General features: G+C 39.2%; 1 protein-coding gene across 47 annotated transcripts in view; it reads left to right on the top strand.

The window, feature by feature from the left end:
* NEB (nebulin) overlaps positions 1-26,311 on the top strand; it is a 249,138-nt gene that overhangs the window by 125,282 nt on the left and 97,545 nt on the right. For 45 of the 47 annotated variants that reach the window (XM_011511227.3, XM_011511226.3, XM_005246613.3 and 42 more), the window contains 20 exons: positions 519-722; positions 1,587-1,691; positions 2,482-2,589; positions 4,324-4,635; positions 5,423-5,626; positions 6,504-6,608; positions 7,187-7,294; positions 8,442-8,753; positions 11,065-11,268; positions 12,133-12,237; positions 13,028-13,135; positions 14,877-15,188; positions 15,976-16,179; positions 17,057-17,161; positions 17,740-17,847; positions 18,995-19,306; positions 21,618-21,821; positions 22,686-22,790; positions 23,581-23,688; positions 25,429-25,740. The exons of 1 other annotated variant lie outside the window; for it this stretch is intronic. In XM_011511227.3, coding sequence (XP_011509529.1) covers positions 519-722; positions 1,587-1,691; positions 2,482-2,589; positions 4,324-4,635; positions 5,423-5,626; positions 6,504-6,608; positions 7,187-7,294; positions 8,442-8,753; positions 11,065-11,268; positions 12,133-12,237; positions 13,028-13,135; positions 14,877-15,188; positions 15,976-16,179; positions 17,057-17,161; positions 17,740-17,847; positions 18,995-19,306; positions 21,618-21,821; positions 22,686-22,790; positions 23,581-23,688; positions 25,429-25,740 — 3,645 coding nt within the window. The remainder of the gene's footprint in view (positions 1-518; positions 723-1,586; positions 1,692-2,481; positions 2,590-4,323; positions 4,636-5,422; positions 5,627-6,503; positions 6,609-7,186; positions 7,295-8,441; positions 8,754-11,064; positions 11,269-12,132; positions 12,238-13,027; positions 13,136-14,876; positions 15,189-15,975; positions 16,180-17,056; positions 17,162-17,739; positions 17,848-18,994; positions 19,307-21,617; positions 21,822-22,685; positions 22,791-23,580; positions 23,689-25,428; positions 25,741-26,311) is intronic. One more of the 47 variants, XM_005246617.3, reaches the window with a different exon arrangement.

Genomic DNA, 26,311 nt, shown 5'->3' with positions numbered 1-26,311 from the left:
TGAAATGGAGTTTCACTCTCGTTGCCCAGGCTGGAGTGCAATCTCCAATTGCACTCCATCCCTTAAAAAAATTTTTTTAAATGTTAGCACTCACGACTTCAACTTATGATCACAAAAGGGATTTCCAGTGTCACAATGATGTACTTTCATGTTTTATTTTTGCTTTGCCGTTGCATGTACTCAGAGTTTCAGTGCTGAAGGCCTGCACCTTGCTTCTCATACAATCTTTGCCAATTTTTTCATTAAATGTTGACATTTAACTTTTTTTTTTTTTTTTTTTTTTTTTTTTGTGAGACGGAGGTTTGCTCTTGTTGCCCAGGCTGGAGTGCAATGGCACAGTCTCGGCTCACTGCAAGCTCTGCCTCCCGGGTTCAAGCGATTCTCCTGCCTCAGCCTCCCAAGTAGCTGGGATTACAGGCATGCGCCACCATGCCCGGCTAATTTTTGTATTTTTAGTAGAGATGGGGTTTCACCATGTTGGTCAGAAATGGTATTTTTGTCTGACATCTTCTTTATAGAGTGTGTATAAGGCAGACCTGGAGTGGCTGCGTGGCATCGGCTGGATGCCAGAAGGCTCAGTGGAAATGAACAGAGTGAAGGTTGCTCAAGACCTCGTGAATGAAAGACTCTATAGGACACGTCCAGAAGCTTTGTCATTCACCAGCATTGTCGACACTCCAGAAGTTGTCTTGGCAAAAGCCAATTCTCTGCAAATAAGTGAGGTAAGAACCATCCTACTATCTTTTCCAAAGATACCACCCAAACTGAGCCCGTAGACTGGACTTCTTCAAAGAATTTTGGTGAGACGAGCAACTCTAAAAATGTCTTCACTAGTGCAGATACACTGAAAATAGAACTCTGACAAACACCAACATGCCTTTCTTCTACCACACATACACACTTTGAAGCACTGCAGTGAAAATGTCACTCCCTGGCAACTCAGGAACACAAATACTTGTTGACCTCATATTAAATACTAAGACATGTAGTGTCATGCTACATAATAACATAACATTGTATTAGTCCAGATTCTCTAGAGAAACAGAACCAATAGGGGCTGTGTGTGTGTGTGTGTTTGTGTGTGTGTGTTTGTACACACACACAGAAGAGAGAGACTTTAAGAAATTGGCTCCTGAGATCATGCAGGCTGGCAAGTCCAAAGTCTGCAGGGTAGGCCAGCCGGCTAGAGACTGAGGGATGTGTTGCAATTCAAACCCAAAGGCCATCTGCTGGCAGAATTCCTTTTTACTGGGGAGGTTTGTCTTTTCTATCAAGGTCTTCAACTAATTAGATAAGGCTCACCCACATCATGAAGGGTAGTCTCCTTTACTTGGAATCTACTGATTTAAATGTTAACTTCATTTTAACAATACTTTCACAGAAACACCTAAAATAATGTTTGACTAAATATCTGGGTACCATGCCCCAGCCAAGCTGACACATAAAGTTAACCATTATAAACATATGTAAAAACGTTTTTCCAGATTGAGTAGTTAGCTAAGGCTTACATTAGTTAACTATTAGCCAAACATTAGCTAAGGCTTAATGTTTCAGATATTGATTCCCTATTTCCCTCCTCTCCACAGAAACTGTATCAGGAAGCCTGGAATAAAGATAAAAGCAACATCACCATTCCTTCTGATACTCCGGAGATGCTGCAGGCCCACATCAATGCCTTGCAAATCAGCAATGTAAGTGGCACGAACATGAAGTGTAAAAGCCTTTATGGGCAATATCTGTCTGCTCATGGAGAGTGTTATAGTGACAAATTACCTACCTTGCAATGTTTGTGGCTTTTGGTGCTAGACATTTTCTCTTTAGCTACCAGTCCCAATGCGATATGAATGGAGTTTCTCTCTTTTAAATGAGTGCTTGGATACATCGGTGGGTGCCTAGACTGCAGGATATGGGACACCTGAATCCTTTTGGTGTCCTCCTTCACTCTTAACAGTCTCTGTTATCATCTTAGGTTTTTTTAATTGATCCAGGACTTTTTCATTTGACATTTCAAGGCCATAAGAAAGACAAAAGACCATTTCTATTTACATCCAGATGGCGGGCTAGGTATGATATCTATGTCACAACTCTTTAGCAGAAACTTCTGAAAAGTCAAAGGACAAAATTAGGGGGAGAAAAATCTTATCAGATCTTACCTGATATCTTGATAAAGATTCTCTGGCTTCCCCATTGATCCTTAGGTTCCATGTACTTGTAGTGGGATATTTTCAAATGCATACCATATTGTGATGGATGCAAATATTCAAACATTAATAGAGTTTGATGTTTAGCTTTAAAATTTTAACCAGAAGTATCCTGTACACCACAGAGGAAATATCCAACAACGAAAAGAACCCAGAAATGAATGCTTTTTTCTTATATTGACTACATTACCATATTCTTTATGATTTATATTATGACAAATTTGAGTAAATTTGCTTATTTTTCCATTCTTGTAAACAAACCTTTATTTTCCCTCTATAGAAACTCTACCAAAAAGACTGGAATGACGCCAAGCAGAAAGGCTATGACATAAGGGCAGATGCCATTGAAATCAAGCACGCCAAGGCCTCCAGAGAAATTGCCAGTGAGGTACGCTTCCTTCTCTTTTCTTGTGGTTTTTCTTTTCTACAAAACGAGCAGGGAGACTATTTTTCAAGAATTTTGTGTTTTTAAAAAATCTGTGCATAGAATTCATCTCATCCTGTGCTAGAAGCTTTCTGTATTTGAAAATATTAAAATGGAATGGAAAACATTAAAGTTAGCATAGATGAGGTATATGTGTAAATTTACTTTGATGCTGTTACAAAGTAGAAACAAAACATCATGAAGAGTCTGTATTAAATTCCTGGGAAAATTCAGGACCCAATACAATGTCATTTTTATCCCTAAAATATTTCTGACATTCTCCACAAATATAAGTCACAGATGATAGTTTCATATAAGACTTAAGACTGAAATCATATTTATATGCAAGATTTTATACTGGAGGCTTATGTAGAATACTCTTAGTAATCTTTGGAACTTCATTTAATTCTAATTTTAAAACTTACTAGTGGTCAAAATAATTATGCTACCTGTCGGGCATGGTGGCTCACCCCTGTAATCCCAGCACTTTGGGAGGCTGAGGTGGGCGGATCACCTGAGGTCAGGAGTTCGAGACCAGCCTGGCCAACATGGTAAAACCTCATCTCTACTAAAAATACAAACAAACAAACAAACAAAAACTTAGCTGGGCGTGGTGGCGGGAGCCTGTAATCCCAGCTACTCAGGAGTCTGAGGCAGGAGAATCACTTGAACCTGGGAGGCGGAGGTTTGCAGTAAGCCGAGATCATGCCATTGCGTTCCAGCCTGGGCAACAAGACTGAAACTGCGTTTCAAAAAAAATAAAAATAAAAATAGAATAATTATGCTACCAGGTGCACCCTGCCCCCAGCTCCAACTCTTTAAGCCACCTTGTTCCTTTCTCTGTGTTCTTCTCTGATTTTCATCATGTAGCCAGTTGTTTCCTCCTTCTTATTCTTCATTTTTGCCTCTAATAACCATAGCTAGTCCACGTTATCTGCTTGATTCCCAGTTTTCTCTCTCTTTGTTCAAACTTGCCTATGTTGTCCAAACATAGGAAAGAAACAGAAACCACCTTACACTAGTCCTGAGACACTCATCAGATGGAAACTCTTGTCCACAGAACTTTTGTTGTTATCTTCTGATTCAAGCCACAACCTTGCTTTCCATCCTTGAAACATGCATCTTTCTTATCTGTTTCCAAAACCACACACGTATGACCTCTCCCTACCTGAGGTTCCTTCAGTACTCTTAGGAGATCATTTGACCTAATGTTGCACTTGTCAGGGAAGCTTGGTGATGGAGATTATCACCTGTGCCTTGTTTTCCCCATCTGGAATATATGTTAATAATAGTATCTACCTCATAGAGACATTGTGAGGATGAACTGTGATCATAATTGCCACCAGTCAATGATTTTTGACCGAAAAACATGGTAGTTTCATGTGGATCTACCCAACACATTAGAAGTAGTCATAATAGTGTCCGGCATAGAGTAATTACTTAGTAAATGTTAGCTATTGTTTTCATTACTCTTGTTCACCATACCATCTCCCTCCTGATTTACTCATGTCCTCTCTGAAATGACCTAAAATCGTATTATCTAATTTCTTTAAAGTGAACTGAAATATGTAATGACTGCCAATGTTGAGCCAATTTATACCAAGGCTAAGAAAACATACTGAAACCATTTAAATTAGAAAACCCCTCTTAATACATTATTTTCATATGTCTTTTTAATATGATTTCTTACTACTTTAGTACAAATACAAAGAAGGTTACCGTAAGCAACTGGGCCACCACATGGGTTTCCGCACCCTACAAGATGACCCCAAGTCAGTATGGGCTATACATGCTGCCAAGATCCAGAGTGACAGAGAATATAAGAAAGCTTATGAGAAGTCTAAAGGAATTCACAACACACCGTTGGACATGATGTCAATTGTTCAAGCCAAGAAATGCCAGGTCCTGGTTAGCGACATTGATTATCGCAATTATCTGCACCAGTGGACGTGTCTGCCAGATCAGAACGATGTGATCCAGGCCAAGAAAGCCTACGACCTGCAGAGCGATGTGCGTATATTATCGCCAGACCCCGGGGAGATGTGTATTTGTGTGTTTAAATCCAGTGCATTCCCCAGAGGCATAATTTAAATGGTAATCTTAATAGAACCTAACATATTCTGTACAATTCATGGTAGCAGAGTTTTCCCCAGACATTTTCTATCTTATAGAGGACTCCTTCTTATGGTAGCAAGACCTTATTTACCAAGATGAAAATCAGTCTCTTATTCTATGTAATTAGGTAGAAAATTTCAGTTGCAGCTGCTCTGAGCCGTTACCTTTGCATAATCATATACATATTTCATAAGTAGATGTAAGCATAAGGAAATGTTGGATTTCATGTTTACTTGACACAGAAAGAGAGAGAGATGGGGGGCAGGGTGGATATCGATACAGGTATGTATTTTTTTCTCATTACGCATACATCTAAGGTTCTTTACCTCCTAAGATCCAACTGATGTTATTACTGATGTTACTTCCAGTGGTACATAAAAGGCAGACTTCAAGTGGTGAGTGTAGAAACTAATCCAAGCATACAAAGTTATGTGCCATTGCTGGCTGCCGTTCCACCAAGTGCCACTTGTGAGCCCTGTTCCAATTCCTGCAGGATACTCTAAACTTCTCCCATGTGTGCCAGAGAGATAACACCCAATATTAACATTTAATGTTGATCCTTGAGTTTTATGAGATTAGCCACCTAACTGATTTAAACAGAGGTGATGTGTGGTTTGCAAGCATCAAACTCTTATGGGCAACTTTGACTCTTCCCCACTCTGTGTTCCTCTCCTTCATGTAGAACTTGTACAAGTCAGACCTGGAATGGCTGAAGGGTATTGGATGGCTGCCAGAGGGTTCTGTGGAAGTGATGAGAGTGAAGAATGCCCAGAATCTCTTGAATGAAAGGCTGTATCGTATAAAGCCTGAGGCCCTCAAATTCACCAGCATTGTTGACACCCCGGAAGTAATCCAGGCAAAGATCAATGCTGTACAGATCAGTGAGGTAAGTCCAGGTGGATGATGTTTTCAGACAAATGGAAGAAATCTGAATCCAGAAGAATTTTAAACGTGAACTTTAGACTCTTCATGTCAGCGTCAGGATCTGAAACACGTTTGCATGTATCCAGATGGATCTTTGTGTAGTCAGTCTCTTAGCAGCCTCTGGATTTCATTTGCTTTGATAAGTGTTTGGTCAATGCACATGTGGTGGGCATCTTCATGTTCTACACACCCTGATACACACTTTGATCACATTTGGAGATCCAGACCATAATATAGGCCCACCACTTAGTACTATAATCACAAAATTGCCACTTCTTTATTGCTTGAAATAGGTTGAGAAGTCTAGGGACAACTTCAATGTTAGACATTATGGTAGTTATTTGGACCAAAAACAGCTAGGTCCTGCTCAGCAATGGGAATTATCAGAGCTATCTGCAATGTGGACTTACCCATCTGATAATTAGATGTGAGTAAATGGAAAAGAATAATTTTACTACCGTATTTCTGACTCATTTTAAATTATGTTGTATCACACATAAATGTGTTCTTATTGAAGTCACTATTGGCACCTTTTAAATAAAAGTGCAAAGGAGGCAAGGTGCAGTGGCTTATGCTATGTATAATCTACGTTTATATCGGAGAACATCCAAAAAGAACTTTTCATTTTGCTTATTATTTAATATAAAATTAGATTTACCTATTAATCTTACTTAAAAATTTTAATTTACTTATGTTAGTTTTAATTTATTATAAAATTCACTTAAAATTTTATTCATATCCATTTATTCAAGTATATGTTTCATGACTTTATAATTTTATTTATGTGGTAATTGACTTATTTACTAATTGACCATTCCATCGTTTTTCATTTTTCCCAGCCATTGTATCGCGATGCCTGGGAGAAAGAGAAGGCTAATGTGAACGTGCCAGCTGACACTCCCCTGATGCTGCAATCCAAAATCAATGCCCTGCAGATCAGCAATGTAAGACAGCACACATCATTTGCTTTTCACAGTGCTCTCTGCCTAACCAAACCTTTTATTATACACCCCAAAGAGAGTTTGTCAAAAGGCATTTTCTTCCCATTCCTTTTATTTCTAGTCTTTAAGTTAATGATAAGTAGCTGTGTGGGTCTGCGTGTGTCTGTATAATGTACATCTCAATATTTGTTGGAAGGAAAAATGGAATGGTTTCTCCAAAAACACAACATAAAACTTATAGATACACGTAGAGTAATACCTAGTTCTCAGGTTTTGGTGGGCCATCCATCATTGCTTTTTCCTTGTAAAAGCCAAGCAATATGTTTTTTTCTGATTTTTACATGATTTATTATCTCCTAAGTTTCCTTCTTCAAAAAATAATTATTGGGAGAGAGCTTTACTAAATGTCATTAAAAATCTACTGGAATTCAAGCTCAATATGAAACCAGACTCTTTCATAAATCTTAAGGAGACATTAATGTTCAGTGTAACTGTAAATATCTATTTTTAAATACATCAGTAATGCTGACTCAGTAGCTCCCTCTTCAGACTGACTGTGGCATTGCACTCTCTGTTTGCAGAAACGCTATCAGCAAGCTTGGGAAGATGTCAAGATGACTGGTTATGACCTGCGAGCAGATGCCATTGGGATCCAGCATGCCAAGGCTTCCAGGGATATTGCCAGTGACGTAAGAGCTCCTCCTTCCCAACCGGAACAAACACTAACTAGTAGAAATAGAGGGAGTTTAACTTAATGCCCTTTGAATTATATTTAAATGGAATTGGGTCATTGTTATTAGTATATTTGTAAATCCTAAATTCAAGAACAACTCTTACAATCTGAGGATCCTTTTGCATCTATGTTTGGTTCTGCAACTCTTGCGTTTAAGCACAGATTTTGATTTTCTTTTCAATATCTTCACAATGTCACTTAATTTACAAGTACTTAAAGAGATTTAATTTCATAGTACAGAGAATTCTGTTGTTACTCAAAGTGTGGCGTGTATACTACCGGTGTTTCCTATAATAATTTTATGTAGTACATGCACAAGTATTTTTTTAAAATAGTTATATGGTTGTTTTAATGTGTGCTAGAAATATACTGTTTTTTTCCACGTAGATAGGGTTACACATTTTTAAATAAAATTTTAAAATAAGTTTATAATTAAAAATTATTTCAGGCAAGGCATGGTGGCTCATGCCTGTAAATCCCAGCATTTTGGGAGGCCAAGGCGGGTGGATCACTTGAGGTCAGGAGTTCGAGACCAGCCTGGCCAACACGGTGAAACCCTGTCTCTACTAAAAATACAAAAATTAGCTGGGCATGGTGGCGGATGCCTGTAATCCCAGCTACTGGGGAGGCAGAGGCAGGAGAATCACTTGAACCCAGGAGGTGGAGATTGCAAGTGAGCCGAGATCGTGCTACTGCACTCTAGCCTGGGGAGCAGAGCGAGACTCTGTCTCAAAAAAAAAAAAAAAAAAAGAAAAGAAAAGTAAAATAAAAAAAATTTCAACAAAGAATTAATTTGATTTAAAGTAATAAGAAGTACAACTGGTACTTGTGTGTGACAAAACATCTGAAGGTGGCCAGGCTATATTGGGAGATAATCCAGCAACACAGTTCTTGCCTAAGAGATGCTCTCAATGTTTTCATGCATGTAGACACAGAAGACAAACCAATGTATCAAAACTTATGGCTTGAATTTAAATAAAAACAGTATTCCCCGACCCCCCCAAAAAAGGTAAACTAAGGGAGATGGAGTTAGTTTGAGTAGGCTCTCTAGAAAAAGTGGGTTTGGAAAAATTACTCTTCTATTTTCTGTTCACATCTACCAGTATCTGTACAAAACTGCTTATGAGAAACAGAAAGGCCATTACATTGGCTGTCGCAGCGCCAAGGAAGACCCTAAACTGGTTTGGGCAGCAAATGTGTTGAAGATGCAGAATGACAGGCTGTACAAAAAGGCCTACAACGACCACAAAGCCAAGATCTCCATCCCTGTGGACATGGTGTCCATCAGCGCTGCCAAAGAAGGTCAGGCACTGGCAAGTGATGTGGACTATCGCCATTACCTGCACCACTGGTCTTGCTTTCCCGACCAGAATGATGTGATCCAAGCCAGGAAAGCCTACGACCTACAGAGCGACGTAAGTGTGTCCCCCAGGAAACAAGTCCCCCATTGCTTTGCCTGATGGCTCCTTCCAATGCTCTGAAAACACAACTCTCTGTACGTAGGCACTCCACTTTATTATTATTTTATCAGAATTATTAATTGCCTACCTACAGCCAGGTTTCTTCAGAAAGTTTTCATTGTTAAAGGTGCTACCAGAATTTTCCTATAGATTTGTTAATGTGTACAGTGTTTCCAGTTTCTTTCTTTTTTTTTTTTTTTTTTTTTGAGACGGAGAGTCTTGCTCTGTCACCCAGGCTGGAGTGCAGTGGTGCAATCTCAGCCCACTGCAACCTCCGCCTCCCAGGTTCAAGCGATGTTCCTGCATCAGCCTCCCAAGTAGCTGGGATTACAGGCATGTGCACCACACCCAGCTAATTTTTGTATTTTTATTAGAGGCGGGTTTTCGCCATCTTGGCCAGGCTGGTCTTGAACTCCTGGCCTCAGGTGATCCACTTGTCTCAGCCTCCCAAAGTTCTGGGATTATAGATGTGAGCCACCGCGCCCAGCCTTGCAGTTCGTTTCTTTGTTCCTTCCTTCCTTCCTTAGTCTGGCCCTGCGGCCCAGGCTGGAGTCTCAGCTCACTGCAACCTCTGCCTCCCGGGTTCAAGCGATTCTTCTGCCTCAGCCTCCCAAGTAGCTGGGATTACAAGCACATGCCACCACAGTCGGCTGATTTTTTTATTTTTTAGTAGAGGCAGGGTTTCATCATGTTGGCCAGGCTGGTCTCAAACCCCTGACCTCAGGTGATCCACCTGCCTTGGCCTCCCAAAGTGCTGGGGCAGTTTCTTAAACAGAAGAATGTCCATGGTCCTTCAGCTATGAATCAAAGAAGGGCAGGACCATCTTCCTCAAACTTAATTTGAAAAGTTAGCAGCACGCTCCAGACCACTTGATGTTCTTCACAATGTGGTCTTTCATTAACTCACCTAAGGCATTTTTAGATTTACTCGTATTTTCTGCCCTTCAGACTTTTAGAAATGATGGATTACAGAAGGTTATTTATTTCCTGTATAGAATGGATAACTTAAAAATTATCTGATCTTGGTTCCCTTAAGCTTCCAGAGATACCTTTTTGTAATGAATGAGTTCATTACAGGAAAGCATGCTCATCACTTAAAATGCATTGCCAAGTGGTAGATTTAAGACAGTTTCTGGAGACCAAAACTGTGGAACTAGTGATCGAATTCTTAATCATCCTTTTAAAAATACTTATTAAACACACCATGTGCCAGGCATTGTGCTAAGCACTAAAGATACAATGGTGAATAAAGAAGAAGAAAGAACATGACATAGGGCTGGGCGCGGTGGCTCACACCTGTAATCCCAGCACTTTTCAGACAAATACATTTTCAGACAAATAAAAATCATCTGAATGTTTTTAAAATAATTGCTGCTATTATGCTAGATCCAAAACACTAAACAGCATTTCCTTGGGTCAATTATCACAGGATTAAAGTGGAATCCAATTCAGCAAAATTTTCCTTTAAAAATTTTCAACTATAAAATTTTTTGAAATATCAATTATATCATGGAATTCAGCTTTATTACTATACATATTATTATTCATGGCTAGTATAAATAATTATGTTTTTACAAATGACTTCTGTGATCAATATTAAAAACCCTGAATCATGTGAGATCTCAGGTCTTACTTTTTTGGAAGTACAATCTCCTGCACCTATCCCTTCAACCCCATGTGCTTTATTTTTCAGCTAAAGATTTGTATGTCTAACACTTGAAATGTTTTTTCCTTTTTTTTTTCTTTTTTTTTGAAATGGAGTTTCACTCTCATTGCCCAGGCTGGAGTGCAGTCTCCAATTGCACTCCATCCCTTAAAAAAAATTTTTTTAAATGTTAGCACTCACGACTTCAACTTATGATCACAAAAGGGATTTCCAGTGTCACAATGATGTACTTTCATGTTTTATTTTTGCTTTGCCGTTGCATGTACTCAGAGTTTCAGTGCTGAAAGCCTGCACCTTGCCTCTCATACAATCTTTGCCTATTTTTTCATTAAATGTTGACATTTACCTTTTTTTTTTTTTTTTTTTTTTTTGTGAGACGGAGGTTTGCTCTTGTTGCCCAGGCTGGAGTGCAATGGCACAGTCTCGGCTCACTGCAAGCTCTGCCTCCCGGGTTCAAGCGATTCTCCTGCCTCAGCCTCCCAAGTAGCTGGGATTACAGGCATGCGCCACCATGCCCGGCTAATTTTTGTATTTTTAGTAGAGATGGGGTTTCACCATGTTGGTCAGAAATGGTATTTTTGTCTGACATCTTCTTTATAGAGTGTGTATAAGGCAGACCTGGAGTGGCTGCGTGGCATCGGCTGGATGCCAGAAGGCTCAGTGGAAATGAACAGAGTGAAGGTTGCTCAAGACCTCGTGAATGAAAGACTCTATAGGACACGTCCAGAAGCTTTGTCATTCACCAGCATTGTCGACACTCCAGAAGTTGTCTTGGCAAAAGCCAATTCTCTGCAAATAAGTGAGGTAAGAACCATCCTACTATCTTTTCCAAAGATACCACCCAAACTGAGCCCGTAGACTGGACTTCTTCAAAGAATTTTGGTGAGACGAGCAACTCTAAAAATGTCTTCACTAGTGCAGATACACTGAAAATAGAACTCTGACAAACACCAACATGCCTTTCTTCTACCACACATACACACTTTGAAGCACTGCAGTGAAAATGTCACTCCCTGGCAACTCAGGAACACAAATACTTGTTGACCTCATATTAAATACTAAGACATGTAGTGTCATGCTACATAATAACATAACATTGTATTAGTCCAGATTCTCTAGAGAAACAGAACCAATAGGGGCTGTGTGTGTGTGTGTGTTTGTGTGTGTGTGTTTGTACACACACACAGAAGAGAGAGACTTTAAGAAATTGGCTCCTGAGATCATGCAGGCTGGCAAGTCCAAAGTCTGCAGGGTAGGCCAGCCGGCTAGAGACTGAGGGATGTGTTGCAATTCAAACCCAAAGGCCATCTGCTGGCAGAATTCCTTTTTACTGGGGAGGTTTGTCTTTTCTATCAAGGTCTTCAACTAATTAGATAAGGCTCACCCACATCATGAAGGGTAGTCTCCTTTACTTGGAATCTACTGATTTAAATGTTAACTTCATTTTAACAATACTTTCACAGAAACACCTAAAATAATGTTTGACTAAATATCTGGGTACCATGCCCCAGCCAAGCTGACACATAAAGTTAACCATTATAAACATATGTAAAAACGTTTTTCCAGATTGAGTAGTTAGCTAAGGCTTACATTAGTTAACTATTAGCCAAACATTAGCTAAGGCTTAATGTTTCAGATATTGATTCCCTATTTCCCTCCTCTCCACAGAAACTGTATCAGGAAGCCTGGAATAAAGATAAAAGCAACATCACCATTCCTTCTGATACTCCGGAGATGCTGCAGGCCCACATCAATGCCTTGCAAATCAGCAATGTAAGTGGCACGAACATGAAGTGTAAAAGCCTTTATGGGCAATATCTGTCTGCTCATGGAGATTGTTATAGCGACAAATTACCTACCTTGCAATGTTTGTGGCTTTTGGTGCTAGACATTTTCTCTTTAGCTACCAGTCCCAATGCGATATGAATGGAGTTTCTCTCTTTTAAATGTGTGCTTGGATACATCGGTGGGTGCCTAGACTGCAGGATTTGGGACACCTGAATCCTTTTGGTGTCCTCCTTCACTCTTAACAGTCTCTGTTATCATCTTAGGTTTTTCTTATTGATCCAGGACTTTTTCATTTGACATTTCAAGGCCATAAGAAAGACAAAGGACCATTTTTAATTACATCCAAATGGCGGGCTATGTATGATATCTATGTCACAACCCTTTAGCAGAAACTTCTGAAAAGTCAAAGGACAAAATTAGGGGGAGAAAAATCTTATCAGATCTTACCTGATATCTTGATAAAGATTCTCTGGCTTCCCCATTGATCCTTAGGTTCCATGTACTTGTAGTGGGATATTTTCAAATGCATACCATATTGTGATGGATGCAAATATTCAAACATTAATAGAGTTTGATGTTTAGCTTTAAAATTTTAACCAGAAGTATCCTGTACACCACAGAGGAAATATCCAACAACGAAAAGAACCCAGAAATGAATGCTTTTTTCTTATATTGACTACATTACCATATTCTTTATGATTTATATTATGACAAATTTGAGTAAATTTGCTTATTTTTCCATTCTTGTAAACAAACCTTTATTTTCCCTCTATAGAAACTCTACCAAAAAGACTGGAATGACACCAAGCAGAAAGGCTATGACATAAGGGCAGATGCCATTGAAATCAAGCACGCCAAGGCCTCCAGAGAAATTGCCAGTGAGGTACGCTTCCTTCTCTTTTCTTGTGGTTTTTCTTTTCTACAAAACGAGCAGGGAGACTATTTTTCAAGAATTTTGTGTTTTTAAAAAATCTGTGCATAGAATTGCATCTCATCCTCTGCTAGAAGCTTTCTGTATTTGAAAATATTAAAATGGAATGGAAAACATTAAAGTTAGCATAGATGAGGTATATGTGTAAATTTACTTTGATGCTGTTACAAAGTAGAAACAAAACATCATGAAGAGTCTGTATTAAATTCCTGGGAAAATTCAGGACCCAATACAATGTCATTTTTATCCCTAAAATATTTCTGACATTCTCCACAAATATAAGTCACAGATGATAGTTTCATATAAGACTTAAGACTGAAATCATATTTATATGCAAGATTTTATACTGGAGGCTTATGTAGAATACTCTTAGTAATCTTTGGAACTTCATTTAATTCTAATTTTAAAACTTACTAGTGGTCAAAATAATTATGCTACCTGTCGGGCATGGTGGCTCACCCCTGTAATCCCAGCACTTTGGGAGGCTGAGGTGGGCGGATCACCTGAGGTCAGGAGTTCGAGACCAGCCTGGCCAACATGGTAAAACCTCATCTCTACTAAAAATACAAACAAACAAACAAACAAACAAAAACTTAGCTGGGCGTGGTGGCGGGAGCCTGTAATCCCAGCTACTCAGGAGTCTGAGGCAGGAGAATCACTTGAACCTGGGAGGCGGAGGTTTGCAGTAAGCCGAGATCATGCCATTGCGTTCCAGCCTGGGCAACAAGACTGAAACTGCGTTTCAAAAAAAAATAAAAATAAAAATAGAATAATTATGCTACCAGGTGCACCCTGCCCCCAGCTCCAACTCTTTAAGCCACCTTGTTCCCTTTCTCTGCGTTCTTCTCTGATTTTCATCATGTAGCCAGTTGTTTCCTCCTTCTTATTCTTCATTTTTGCCTCTAATAACCATAGCTAGTCCACGTTATCTGCTTGATTCCCAGTTTTCTCTCTCTTTGTTCAAACTTGCCTATGTTATCCAAACATAGGAAAGAAACAGAAACCACCTTACACTAGTCCTGAGACACTCATCAGATGGAAACTCTTGTCCACAGAACTTTTGTTGTTATCTTCTGATTCAAGCCACAGCCTTGCTTTCCATCCTTGAAACATGCATCTTTCTTGTCTGTTTCCAAAACCACACACGTATGACCTCTCCCTACCTGAGGTTCCTTCAGTACTCTTAGGAGATCATTTGACCTAATGTTGCACTTGTCAGGGAAACTTGGTGATGGAGATTATCACCTGTGCCTTGTTTTCCCCAACTGGAATATATGTTAATAATAGTATCTACCTCATAGAGACATTGTGAGGATGAACTGTGATCATAATTGCCACCAGTCAATGATTTTTGACCGAAAAACATGGTAGTTTCATGTGGATCTACCCAACACATTAGAAGTAGTCATAATAGTGTCCGGCATAGAGTAATTACTTAGTAAATGTTAGCTATTGTTTTCATTACTCTTGTTCACCATACCATCTCCCTCCTGATTTACTCATGTCCTCTCTGAAATGACCTAAAATCGTATTATCTAATTCCTTTAAAGTGAACTGAAATATGTAATGACTGCCAATGTTGAGCCAATTTATACCAAGGCTAAGAAAACATACTGAAGCCATTTAAATTAGAAAACCCCTCTTAATACATTATTTTCATATGTCTTTTTAATATGATTTCTTACTACTTTAGTACAAATACAAAGAAGGTTACCGTAAGCAACTGGGCCACCACATGGGTTTCCGCACCCTACAAGATGACCCCAAGTCAGTATGGGCTATACATGCTGCCAAGATCCAGAGTGACAGAGAATATAAGAAAGCTTATGAGAAGTCTAAAGGAATTCACAACACACCGTTGGACATGATGTCAATTGTTCAAGCCAAGAAATGCCAGGTCCTGGTTAGCGACATTGATTATCGCAATTATCTGCACCAGTGGACGTGTCTGCCAGATCAGAACGATGTGATCCAGGCCAAGAAAGCCTACGACCTGCAGAGCGATGTGCGTATATTATCGCCAGACCCCGGGGAGATGTGTATTTGTGTGTTTAAATCCAGTGCATTCCCCAGAGGCATAATTTAAATGGTAATCTTAATAGAACCTAACATATTCTGTACAATTCATGGTAGCAGAGTTTTCCCCAGACATTTTCTATCTTATAGAGGACTCCTTCTTATGGTAGCAAGACCTTATTTACCAAGATGAAAATCAGTCTCTTATTCTATGTAATTAGGTAGAAAATTTCAGTTGCAGCTGCTCTGAGCCGTTACCTTTGCATAATCATATACATATTTCATAAGTAGATGTAAGCATAAGGAAATGTTGGATTTCATGTTTACTTGACACAGAAAGAGAGAGAGATGGGGGGCAGGATGGATATAGATACAGGTATGTATTTTTTTCTCATTACGCATACATCTAAGGTTCTTTACCTCCTAAAATCCAACTGATGTTATTACTGATGTTACTTCCAGTGGTACATAAAAGGCAGACTTCAAGTGGTGAGTGTAGAAACTAATCCAAGCATACAAAGTTATGTGCCATTGCTGGCTGCCGTTCCACCAAGTGCCACTTGTGAGCCCTGTTCCAATTCCTGCAGGATACTCTAAACTTCTCCCATGTGTGCCAGAGAGATAACACCCAATATTAACATTTAATGTTGATCCTTGAGTTTTATGAGATTAGCCACCTAACTGATTTAAACAGAGGTGATGTGTGGTTTGCAAGCATCAAACTCTTATGGGCAACTTTGACTCTTCCCCACTCTGTGTTCCTCTCCTTCATGTAGAACTTGTACAAGTCAGACCTGGAATGGCTGAAGGGTATTGGATGGTTGCCAGAGGGTTCTGTGGAAGTGATGAGAGTGAAGAATGCCCAGAATCTCTTGAATGAAAGGCTGTATCGTATAAAGCCTGAGGCCCTCAAATTCACCAGCATTGTTGACACCCCGGAAGTAATCCAGGCAAAGATCAATGCTGTACAGATCAGTGAGGTAAGTCCAGGTGGATGATGTTTTCAGACAAATGGAAGAAATCTGAATCCAGAAGAATTTTAAACGTGAACTTTAGACTCTTCATGTCAGCGTCAGGATCTGAAACACGTTTGCATGTATCCAGATGGATCTTTGTGTAGTCAGTCTCTTAGCAGCCTCTGGATTTCATTTGCTTTGATAAGTGTTTGGTCAATGCACATGTGGTGGGCATCTTCATGTTCTACACACCCTGATACACACTTTGATCACATTTGGAGATCCAGACCATAATATAGGCCCACCACTTAGTACTATAATCACAAAATTGCCACTTCTTTATTGCTTGAAATAGGTTGAGAAGTCTAGGGACAACTTCAATGTTAGACATTATGGTAGTTATTTGGACCAAAAACAGCTAGGTCCTGCTCAGCAATGGGAATTATCAGAGCTATCTGCAATGTGGACTTACCCATCTGATAATTAGATGTGAGTAAATGGAAAAGAATAATTTTACTACCGTATTTCTGACTCATTTTAAATTATGTTGTATCACACATAAATGTGTTCTTATTGAAGTCACTATTGGCACCTTTTAAATAAAAGTGCAAAGGAGGCAAGGTGCAGTGGCTTATGCTATGTATAATCTACGTTTATATCGGAGAACATCCAAAAAGAACTTTTCATTTTGCTTATTATTTAATATAAAATTAGATTTACCTATTAATCTTACTTAAAAATTTTAATTTACTTATGTTAGTTTTAATTTATTATAAAATTCACTTAAAATTTTATTCATATCCATTTATTCAAGTATATGTTTCATGACTTTATAATTTTATTTATGTGGTAATTGACTTATTTACTAATTGACCATTCCATCGTTTTTCATTTTTCCCAGCCATTGTATCGCAATGCCTGGGAGAAAGAGAAGGCTAATGTGAACGTGCCAGCTGACACTCCCCTGATGCTGCAATCCAAAATCAATGCTCTGCAGATCAGCAATGTAAGACAGCGCACATCATTTGCTTTTCACAGTGCTCTCTGCCTAACCAAACCTTTTATTATACACCCCAAAGAGAGTTTGTCAAAAGGCATTTTCTTCCCATTCCTTTTATTTCTAGTCTTTAAGTTAATGATAAGTAGCTGTGTGGGTCTGCGTGTGTCTGTGTAATGTACATCTCAATGTTTGTTGGAAGGAAAAATGGAATGGTTTCTCCAAAAACACAACATAAAACTTATAGATACACGTAGAGTAATACCTAGTTCTCAGGTTTTAGTGGGCCATCCATCATTGCTTTTTCCTTGTAAAAGCCAAGCAATATGTTTTTTTCTGATTTTTACATGATTTATTATCTCCTAAGTTTCCTTCTTCAAAAAATAATTATTGGGAGAGAGCTTTACTAAATGTCATTAAAAATCTACTGGAATTCAAGCTCAATATGAAACCAGACTCTTTCATAAATCTTAAGGAGACATTAATGTTCAGTGTAACTGTAAATATCTATTTTTAAATACATCAGTAATGCTGACTCAGTAGCTCCCTCTTCAGACTGACTGTGGCATTGCACTCTCTGTTTGCAGAAACGCTATCAGCAAGCTTGGGAAGATGTCAAGATGACTGGTTATGACCTGCGAGCAGATGCCATTGGGATCCAGCATGCCAAGGCTTCCAGGGATATTGCCAGTGATGTAAGAGCTCCTCCTTCCCAACCGGAACAAACACTAACTAGTAGAAATAGAGGGAGTTTAACTTAATGCCCTTTGAATTATATTTAAATGGAATTGGGTCATTGTTATTAGTATATTTGTAAATCCTAAATTCAAGAACAACTCTTACAATCTGAGGATCCTTTTGCATCTATGTTTGGTTCTGCAACTCTTGCGTTTAAGCACAGATTTTGATTTTCTTTTCAATATCTTCACAATGTCACTTAATTTACAAGTACTTAAAGAGATTTAATTTCATAGTACAGAGAATTCTGTTGTTACTCAAAGTGTGGCGTGTATACTACCGGTGTTTCCTATAATAATTTTATGTAGTACATGCACAAGTATTTTTTTAAAATAGTTATATGGTTGTTTTAATGTGTGCTAGAAATACACTGTTTTTTTCCACGTAGATAGGGTTATACATTTTTAAATAAAATTTTAAAATAAGTTTATAATTAAAAATTATTTCAGGCAAGGCATGGTGGCTCATGCCTGTAATCCCAGCATTTTGGGAGGCCAAGGCGGGTGGATCACTTGAGGTCAGGAGTTCGAGACCAGCCTGGCCAACACGGTGAAACCCTGTCTCTACTAAAAATACAAAAATTAGCTGGGCATGGTGGCGGATGCCTGTAATCCCAGCTACTGGGGAGGCAGAGGCAGGAGAATCACTTGAACCCAGGAGGTGGAGATTGCAAGTGAGCCGAGATCGTGCTACTGCACTCTAGCCTGGGGAGCAGAGCGAGACTCTGTCTCAAAAAAAAAAAAAAAAAAAAGAAAAGAAAAGTAAAATAAAAAAAATTTCAACAAAGAATTAATTTGATTTAAAGTAATAAGAAGTACAACTGGTACTTGTGTGTGACAAAACATCTGAAGGTGGCCAGGCTATATTGGGAGATAATCCAGCAACACAGTTCTTGCCTAAGAGATGCTCTCAATGTTTTCATGCATGTAGACACAGAAGACAAACCAATGTATCAAAACTTATGGCTTGAATTTAAATAAAAACAGTATTCCCCGACCCCCCCAAAAAAGGTAAACTAAGGGAGATGGAGTTAGTTTGAGTAGGCTCTCTAGAAAAAGTGGGTTTGGAAAAATTACTCTTCTATTTTCTGTTCACATCTACCAGTATCTGTACAAAACTGCTTATGAGAAACAGAAAGGCCATTACATTGGCTGTCGCAGCGCCAAGGAAGACCCTAAACTGGTTTGGGCAGCAAATGTGTTGAAGATGCAGAATGACAGGCTGTACAAAAAGGCCTACAACGACCACAAAGCCAAGATCTCCATCCCTGTGGACATGGTGTCCATCAGCGCTGCCAAAGAAGGTCAGGCACTGGCAAGTGATGTGGACTATCGCCATTACCTGCACCACTGGTCTTGCTTTCCCGACCAGAATGATGTGATCCAAGCCAGGAAAGCCTACGACCTACAGAGCGACGTAAGTGTGTCCCCCAGGAAACAAGTCCCCCATTGCTTTGCCTGATGGCTCCTTCCAATGCTCTGAAAACACAACTCTCTGTACGTAGGCACTCCACTTTATTATTATTTTATCAGAATTATTAATTGCCTACCTACAGCCAGGTTTCTTCAGAAAGTTTTCATTGTTAAAGGTGCTACCAGAATTTTCCTATAGATTTGTTAATGTGTACAGTGTTTCCAGTTTCTTTCTTTTTTTTTTTTTTTTTTTTTGAGACGGAGAGTCTTGCTCTGTCACCCAGGCTGGAGTGCAGTGGTGCAATCTCAGCCCACTGCAACCTCCGCCTCCCAGGTTCAAGCGATGTTCCTGCATCAGCCTCCCAAGTAGCTGGGATTACAGGCATGTGCACCACACCCAGCTAATTTTTGTATTTTTATTAGAGGCGGGTTTTCGCCATCTTGGCCAGGCTGGTCTTGAACTCCTGGCCTCAGGTGATCCACTTGTCTCAGCCTCCCAAAGTTCTGGGATTATAGATGTGAGCCACCGCGCCCAGCCTTGCAGTTCGTTTCTTTGTTCCTTCCTTCCTTCCTTAGTCTGGCCCTGCGGCCCAGGCTGGAGTCTCAGCTCACTGCAACCTCTGCCTCCCGGGTTCAAGCGATTCTTCTGCCTCAGCCTCCCAAGTAGCTGGGATTACAAGCACATGCCACCACAGTCGGCTGATTTTTTTATTTTTTAGTAGAGGCAGGGTTTCATCATGTTGGCCAGGCTGGTCTCAAACCCCTGACCTCAGGTGATCCACCTGCCTTGGCCTCCCAAAGTGCTGGGGCAGTTTCTTAAACAGAAGAATGTCCATGGTCCTTCAGCTATGAATCAAAGAAGGGCAGGACCATCTTCCTCAAACTTAATTTGAAAAGTTAGCAGCACGCTCCAGACCACTTGATGTTCTTCACAATGTGGTCTTTCATTAACTCACCTAAGGCATTTTTAGATTTACTCGTATTTTCTGCCCTTCAGACTTTTAGAAATGATGGATTACAGAAGGTTATTTATTTCCTGTATAGAATGGATAACTTAAAAATTATCTGATCTTGGTTCCCTTAAGCTTCCAGAGATACCTTTTTGTAATGAATGAGTTCATTACAGGAAAGCATGCTCATCACTTAAAATGCATTGCCAAGTGGTAGATTTAAGACAGTTTCTGGAGACCAAAACTGTGGAACTAGTGATCGAATTCTTAATCATCCTTTTAAAAATACTTATTAAACACACCATGTGCCAGGCATTGTGCTAAGCACTAAAGATACAATGGTGAATAAAGAAGAAGAAAGAACATGACATAGGGCTGGGCGCGGTGGCTCACACCTGTAATCCCAGCACTTTTCAGACAAATACATTTTCAGACAAATAAAAATCATCTGAATGTTTTTAAAATAATTGCTGCTATTATGCTAGATCCAAAACACTAAACAGCATTTCCTTGGGTCAATTATCACAGGATTAAAGTGGAATCCAATTCAGCAAAATTTTCCTTTAAAAATTTTCAACTATAAAATTTTTTGAAATATCAATTATATCATGGAATTCAGCTTTATTACTATACATATTATTATTCATGGCTAGTATAAATAATTATGTTTTTACAAATGACTTCTGTGATCAATATTAAAAACCCTGAATCATGTGAGATCTCAGGTCTTACTTTTTTGGAAGTACAATCTCCTGCACCTATCCCTTCAACCCCATGTGCTTTATTTTTCAGCTAAAGATTTGTATGTCTAACACTTGAAATGTTTTTTCCTTTTTTTTTTCTTTTTTTTTGAAATGGAGTTTCACTCTCATTGCCCAGGCTGGAGTGCAGTCTCCAATTGCACTCCATCCCTTAAAAAAAATTTTTTTAAATGTTAGCACTCACGACTTCAACTTATGATCACAAAAGGGATTTCCAGTGTCACAATGATGTACTTTCATGTTTTATTTTTGCTTTGCCGTTGCATGTACTCAGAGTTTCAGTGCTGAAAGCCTGCACCTTGCCTCTCATACAATCTTTGCCTATTTTTTCATTAAATGTTGACATTTACCTTTTTTTTTTTTTTTTTTTTTTTTGTGAGACGGAGGTTTGCTCTTGTTGCCCAGGCTGGAGTGCAATGGCACAGTCTCGGCTCACTGCAAGCTCTGCCTCCCGGGTTCAAGCGATTCTCCTGCCTCAGCCTCCCAAGTAGCTGGGATTACAGGCATGCGCCACCATGCCCGGCTAATTTTTGTATTTTTAGTAGAGATGGGGTTTCACCATGTTGGTCAGAAATGGTATTTTTGTCTGACATCTTCTTTATAGAGTGTGTATAAGGCAGACCTGGAGTGGCTGCGTGGCATCGGCTGGATGCCAGAAGGCTCAGTGGAAATGAACAGAGTGAAGGTTGCTCAAGACCTCGTGAATGAAAGACTCTATAGGACACGTCCAGAAGCTTTGTCATTCACCAGCATTGTCGACACTCCAGAAGTTGTCTTGGCAAAAGCCAATTCTCTGCAAATAAGTGAGGTAAGAACCATCCTACTATCTTTTCCAAAGATACCACCCAAACTGAGCCCGTAGACTGGACTTCTTCAAAGAATTTTGGTGAGACGAGCAACTCTAAAAATGTCTTCACTAGTGCAGATACACTGAAAATAGAACTCTGACAAACACCAACATGCCTTTCTTCTACCACACATACACACTTTGAAGCACTGCAGTGAAAATGTCACTCCCTGGCAACTCAGGAACACAAATACTTGTTGACCTCATATTAAATACTAAGACATGTAGTGTCATGCTACATAATAACATAACATTGTATTAGTCCAGATTCTCTAGAGAAACAGAACCAATAGGGGCTGTGTGTGTGTGTGTGTTTGTGTGTGTGTGTTTGTACACACACACAGAAGAGAGAGACTTTAAGAAATTGGCTCCTGAGATCATGCAGGCTGGCAAGTCCAAAGTCTGCAGGGTAGGCCAGCCGGCTAGAGACTGAGGGATGTGTTGCAATTCAAACCCAAAGGCCATCTGCTGGCAGAATTCCTTTTTACTGGGGAGGTTTGTCTTTTCTATCAAGGTCTTCAACTAATTAGATAAGGCTCACCCACATCATGAAGGGTAGTCTCCTTTACTTGGAATCTACTGATTTAAATGTTAACTTCATTTTAACAATACTTTCACAGAAACACCTAAAATAATGTTTGACTAAATATCTGGGTACCATGCCCCAGCCAAGCTGACACATAAAGTTAACCATTATAAACATATGTAAAAACGTTTTTCCAGATTGAGTAGTTAGCTAAGGCTTACATTAGTTAACTATTAGCCAAACATTAGCTAAGGCTTAATGTTTCAGATATTGATTCCCTATTTCCCTCCTCTCCACAGAAACTGTATCAGGAAGCCTGGAATAAAGATAAAAGCAACATCACCATTCCTTCTGATACTCCGGAGATGCTGCAGGCCCACATCAATGCCTTGCAAATCAGCAATGTAAGTGGCACGAACATGAAGTGTAAAAGCCTTTATGGGCAATATCTGTCTGCTCATGGAGATTGTTATAGCGACAAATTACCTACCTTGCAATGTTTGTGGCTTTTGGTGCTAGACATTTTCTCTTTAGCTACCAGTCCCAATGCGATATGAATGGAGTTTCTCTCTTTTAAATGTGTGCTTGGATACATCGGTGGGTGCCTAGACTGCAGGATTTGGGACACCTGAATCCTTTTGGTGTCCTCCTTCACTCTTAACAGTCTCTGTTATCATCTTAGGTTTTTCTTATTGATCCAGGACTTTTTCATTTGACATTTCAAGGCCATAAGAAAGACAAAGGACCATTTTTAATTACATCCAAATGGCGGGCTATGTATGATATCTATGTCACAACCCTTTAGCAGAAACTTCTGAAAAGTCAAAGGACAAAATTAGGGGGAGAAAAATCTTATCAGATCTTACCTGATATCTTGATAAAGATTCTCTGGCTTCCCCATTGATCCTTAGGTTCCATGTACTTGTAGTGGGATATTTTCAAATGCATACCATATTGTGATGGATGCAAATATTCAAACATTAATAGAGTTTGATGTTTAGCTTTAAAATTTTAACCAGAAGTATCCTGTACACCACAGAGGAAATATCCAACAACGAAAAGAACCCAGAAATGAATGCTTTTTTCTTATATTGACTACATTACCATATTCTTTATGATTTATATTATGACAAATTTGAGTAAATTTGCTTATTTTTCCATTCTTGTAAACAAACCTTTATTTTCCCTCTATAGAAACTCTACCAAAAAGACTGGAATGACACCAAGCAGAAAGGCTATGACATAAGGGCAGATGCCATTGAAATCAAGCACGCCAAGGCCTCCAGAGAAATTGCCAGTGAGGTACGCTTCCTTCTCTTTTCTTGTGGTTTTTCTTTTCTACAAAACGAGCAGGGAGACTATTTTTCAAGAATTTTGTGTTTTTAAAAAATCTGTGCATAGAATTGCATCTCATCCTCTGCTAGAAGCTTTCTGTATTTGAAAATATTAAAATGGAATGGAAAACATTAAAGTTAGCATAGATGAGGTATATGTGTAAATTTACTTTGATGCTGTTACAAAGTAGAAACAAAACATCATGAAGAGTCTGTATTAAATTCCTGGGAAAATTCAGGACCCAATACAATGTCATTTTTATCCCTAAAATATTTCTGACATTCTCCACAAATATAAGTCACAGATGATAGTTTCATATAAGACTTAAGACTGAAATCATATTTATATGCAAGATTTTATACTGGAGGCTTATGTAGAATACTCTTAGTAATCTTTGGAACTTCATTTAATTCTAATTTTAAAACTTACTAGTGGTCAAAATAATTATGCTACCTGTCGGGCATGGTGGCTCACCCCTGTAATCCCAGCACTTTGGGAGGCTGAGGTGGGCGGATCACCTGAGGTCAGGAGTTCGAGACCAGCCTGGCCAACATGGTAAAACCTCATCTCTACTAAAAATACAAACAAACAAACAAACAAACAAAAACTTAGCTGGGCGTGGTGGCGGGACGTGTAATCCCAGCTACTCAGGAGTCTGAGGCAGGAGAATCACTTGAACCTGGGAGGCGGAGGTTTGCAGTAAGCCGAGATCATGCCATTGCGTTCCAGCCTGGGCAACAAGACTGAAACTGCGTTTCAAAAAAAAATAAAAATAAAAATAGAATAATTATGCTACCAGGTGCACCCTGCCCCCAGCTCCAACTCTTTAAGCCACCTTGTTCCCTTTCTCTGCGTTCTTCTCTGATTTTCATCATGTAGCCAGTTGTTTCCTCCTTCTTATTCTTCATTTTTGCCTCTAATAACCATAGCTAGTCCACGTTATCTGCTTGATTCCCAGTTTTCTCTCTCTTTGTTCAAACTTGCCTATGTTATCCAAACATAGGAAAGAAACAGAAACCACCTTACACTAGTCCTGAGACACTCATCAGATGGAAACTCTTGTCCACAGAACTTTTGTTGTTATCTTCTGATTCAAGCCACAGCCTTGCTTTCCATCCTTGAAACATGCATCTTTCTTGTCTGTTTCCAAAACCACACACGTATGACCTCTCCCTACCTGAGGTTCCTTCAGTACTCTTAGGAGATCATTTGACCTAATGTTGCACTTGTCAGGGAAACTTGGTGATGGAGATTATCACCTGTGCCTTGTTTTCCCCAACTGGAATATATGTTAATAATAGTATCTACCTCATAGAGACATTGTGAGGATGAACTGTGATCATAATTGCCACCAGTCAATGATTTTTGACCGAAAAACATGGTAGTTTCATGTGGATCTACCCAACACATTAGAAGTAGTCATAATAGTGTCCGGCATAGAGTAATTACTTAGTAAATGTTAGCTATTGTTTTCATTACTCTTGTTCACCATACCATCTCCCTCCTGATTTACTCATGTCCTCTCTGAAATGACCCAAAATCGTATTATCTAACTTCTTTAAAGTGAACTGAAATATGTAATGACTGCCAATGTTGAGCCAATTTATACCAAGGCTAAGAAAACATACTGAAACCATTTAAATTAGAAAACCCCTCTTAATACATTATTTTCATATGTCTTTTTAATATGATTTCTTACTACTTTAGTACAAATACAAAGAAGGTTACCGTAAGCAACTGGGCCACCACATGGGTTTCCGCACCCTACAAGATGACCCCAAGTCAGTATGGGCTATACATGCTGCCAAGATCCAGAGTGACAGAGAATATAAGAAAGCTTATGAGAAGTCTAAAGGAATTCACAACACACCGTTGGACATGATGTCAATTGTTCAAGCCAAGAAATGCCAGGTCCTGGTTAGCGACATTGATTATCGCAATTATCTGCACCAGTGGACGTGTCTGCCAGATCAGAACGATGTGATCCAGGCCAAGAAAGCCTACGACCTGCAGAGCGATGTGCGTATATTATCGCCAGACCCCGGGGAGATGTGTATTTGTGTGTTTAAATCCAGTGCATTCCCCAGAGGCATAATTTAAATGGTAATCTTAATAGAACCTAACATATTCTGTACAATTCATGGTAGCAGAGTTTTCCCCAGACATTTTCTATCTTATAGAGGACTCCTTCTTATGGTAGCAAGACCTTATTTACCAAGATGAAAATCAGTCTCTTATTCTATGTAATTAGGTAGAAAATTTCAGTTGCAGCTGCTCTGAGCCGTTACCTTTGCATAGTCATATACATATTTCATAAGTAGATGTAAGCATAAGGAAATGTTGGATTTCATGTTTACTTGACACAGAAAGAGAGAGAGATGGGGGGCAGGATGGATATAGATACAGGTATGTATTTTTTTCTCATTACGCATACATCTAAGGTTCTTTACCTCCTAAGATCCAACTGATGTTATTACTGATGTTACTTCCAGTGGTACATAAAAGGCAGACTTCAAGTGGTGAGTGTAGAAACTAATCCAAGCATACAAAGTTATGTGCCATTGCTGGCTGCCGTTCCACCAAGTGCCAC

This window comes from Homo sapiens, chromosome 2 (genome assembly GCF_000001405.40).
Source record: "Homo sapiens chromosome 2, GRCh38.p14 Primary Assembly".
Lineage (NCBI taxonomy): Eukaryota > Metazoa > Chordata > Mammalia > Primates > Hominidae > Homo > Homo sapiens.
Note: the sequence above shows the minus strand (reverse complement) of the source record. Positions and strands in the feature narration are given on the sequence as shown.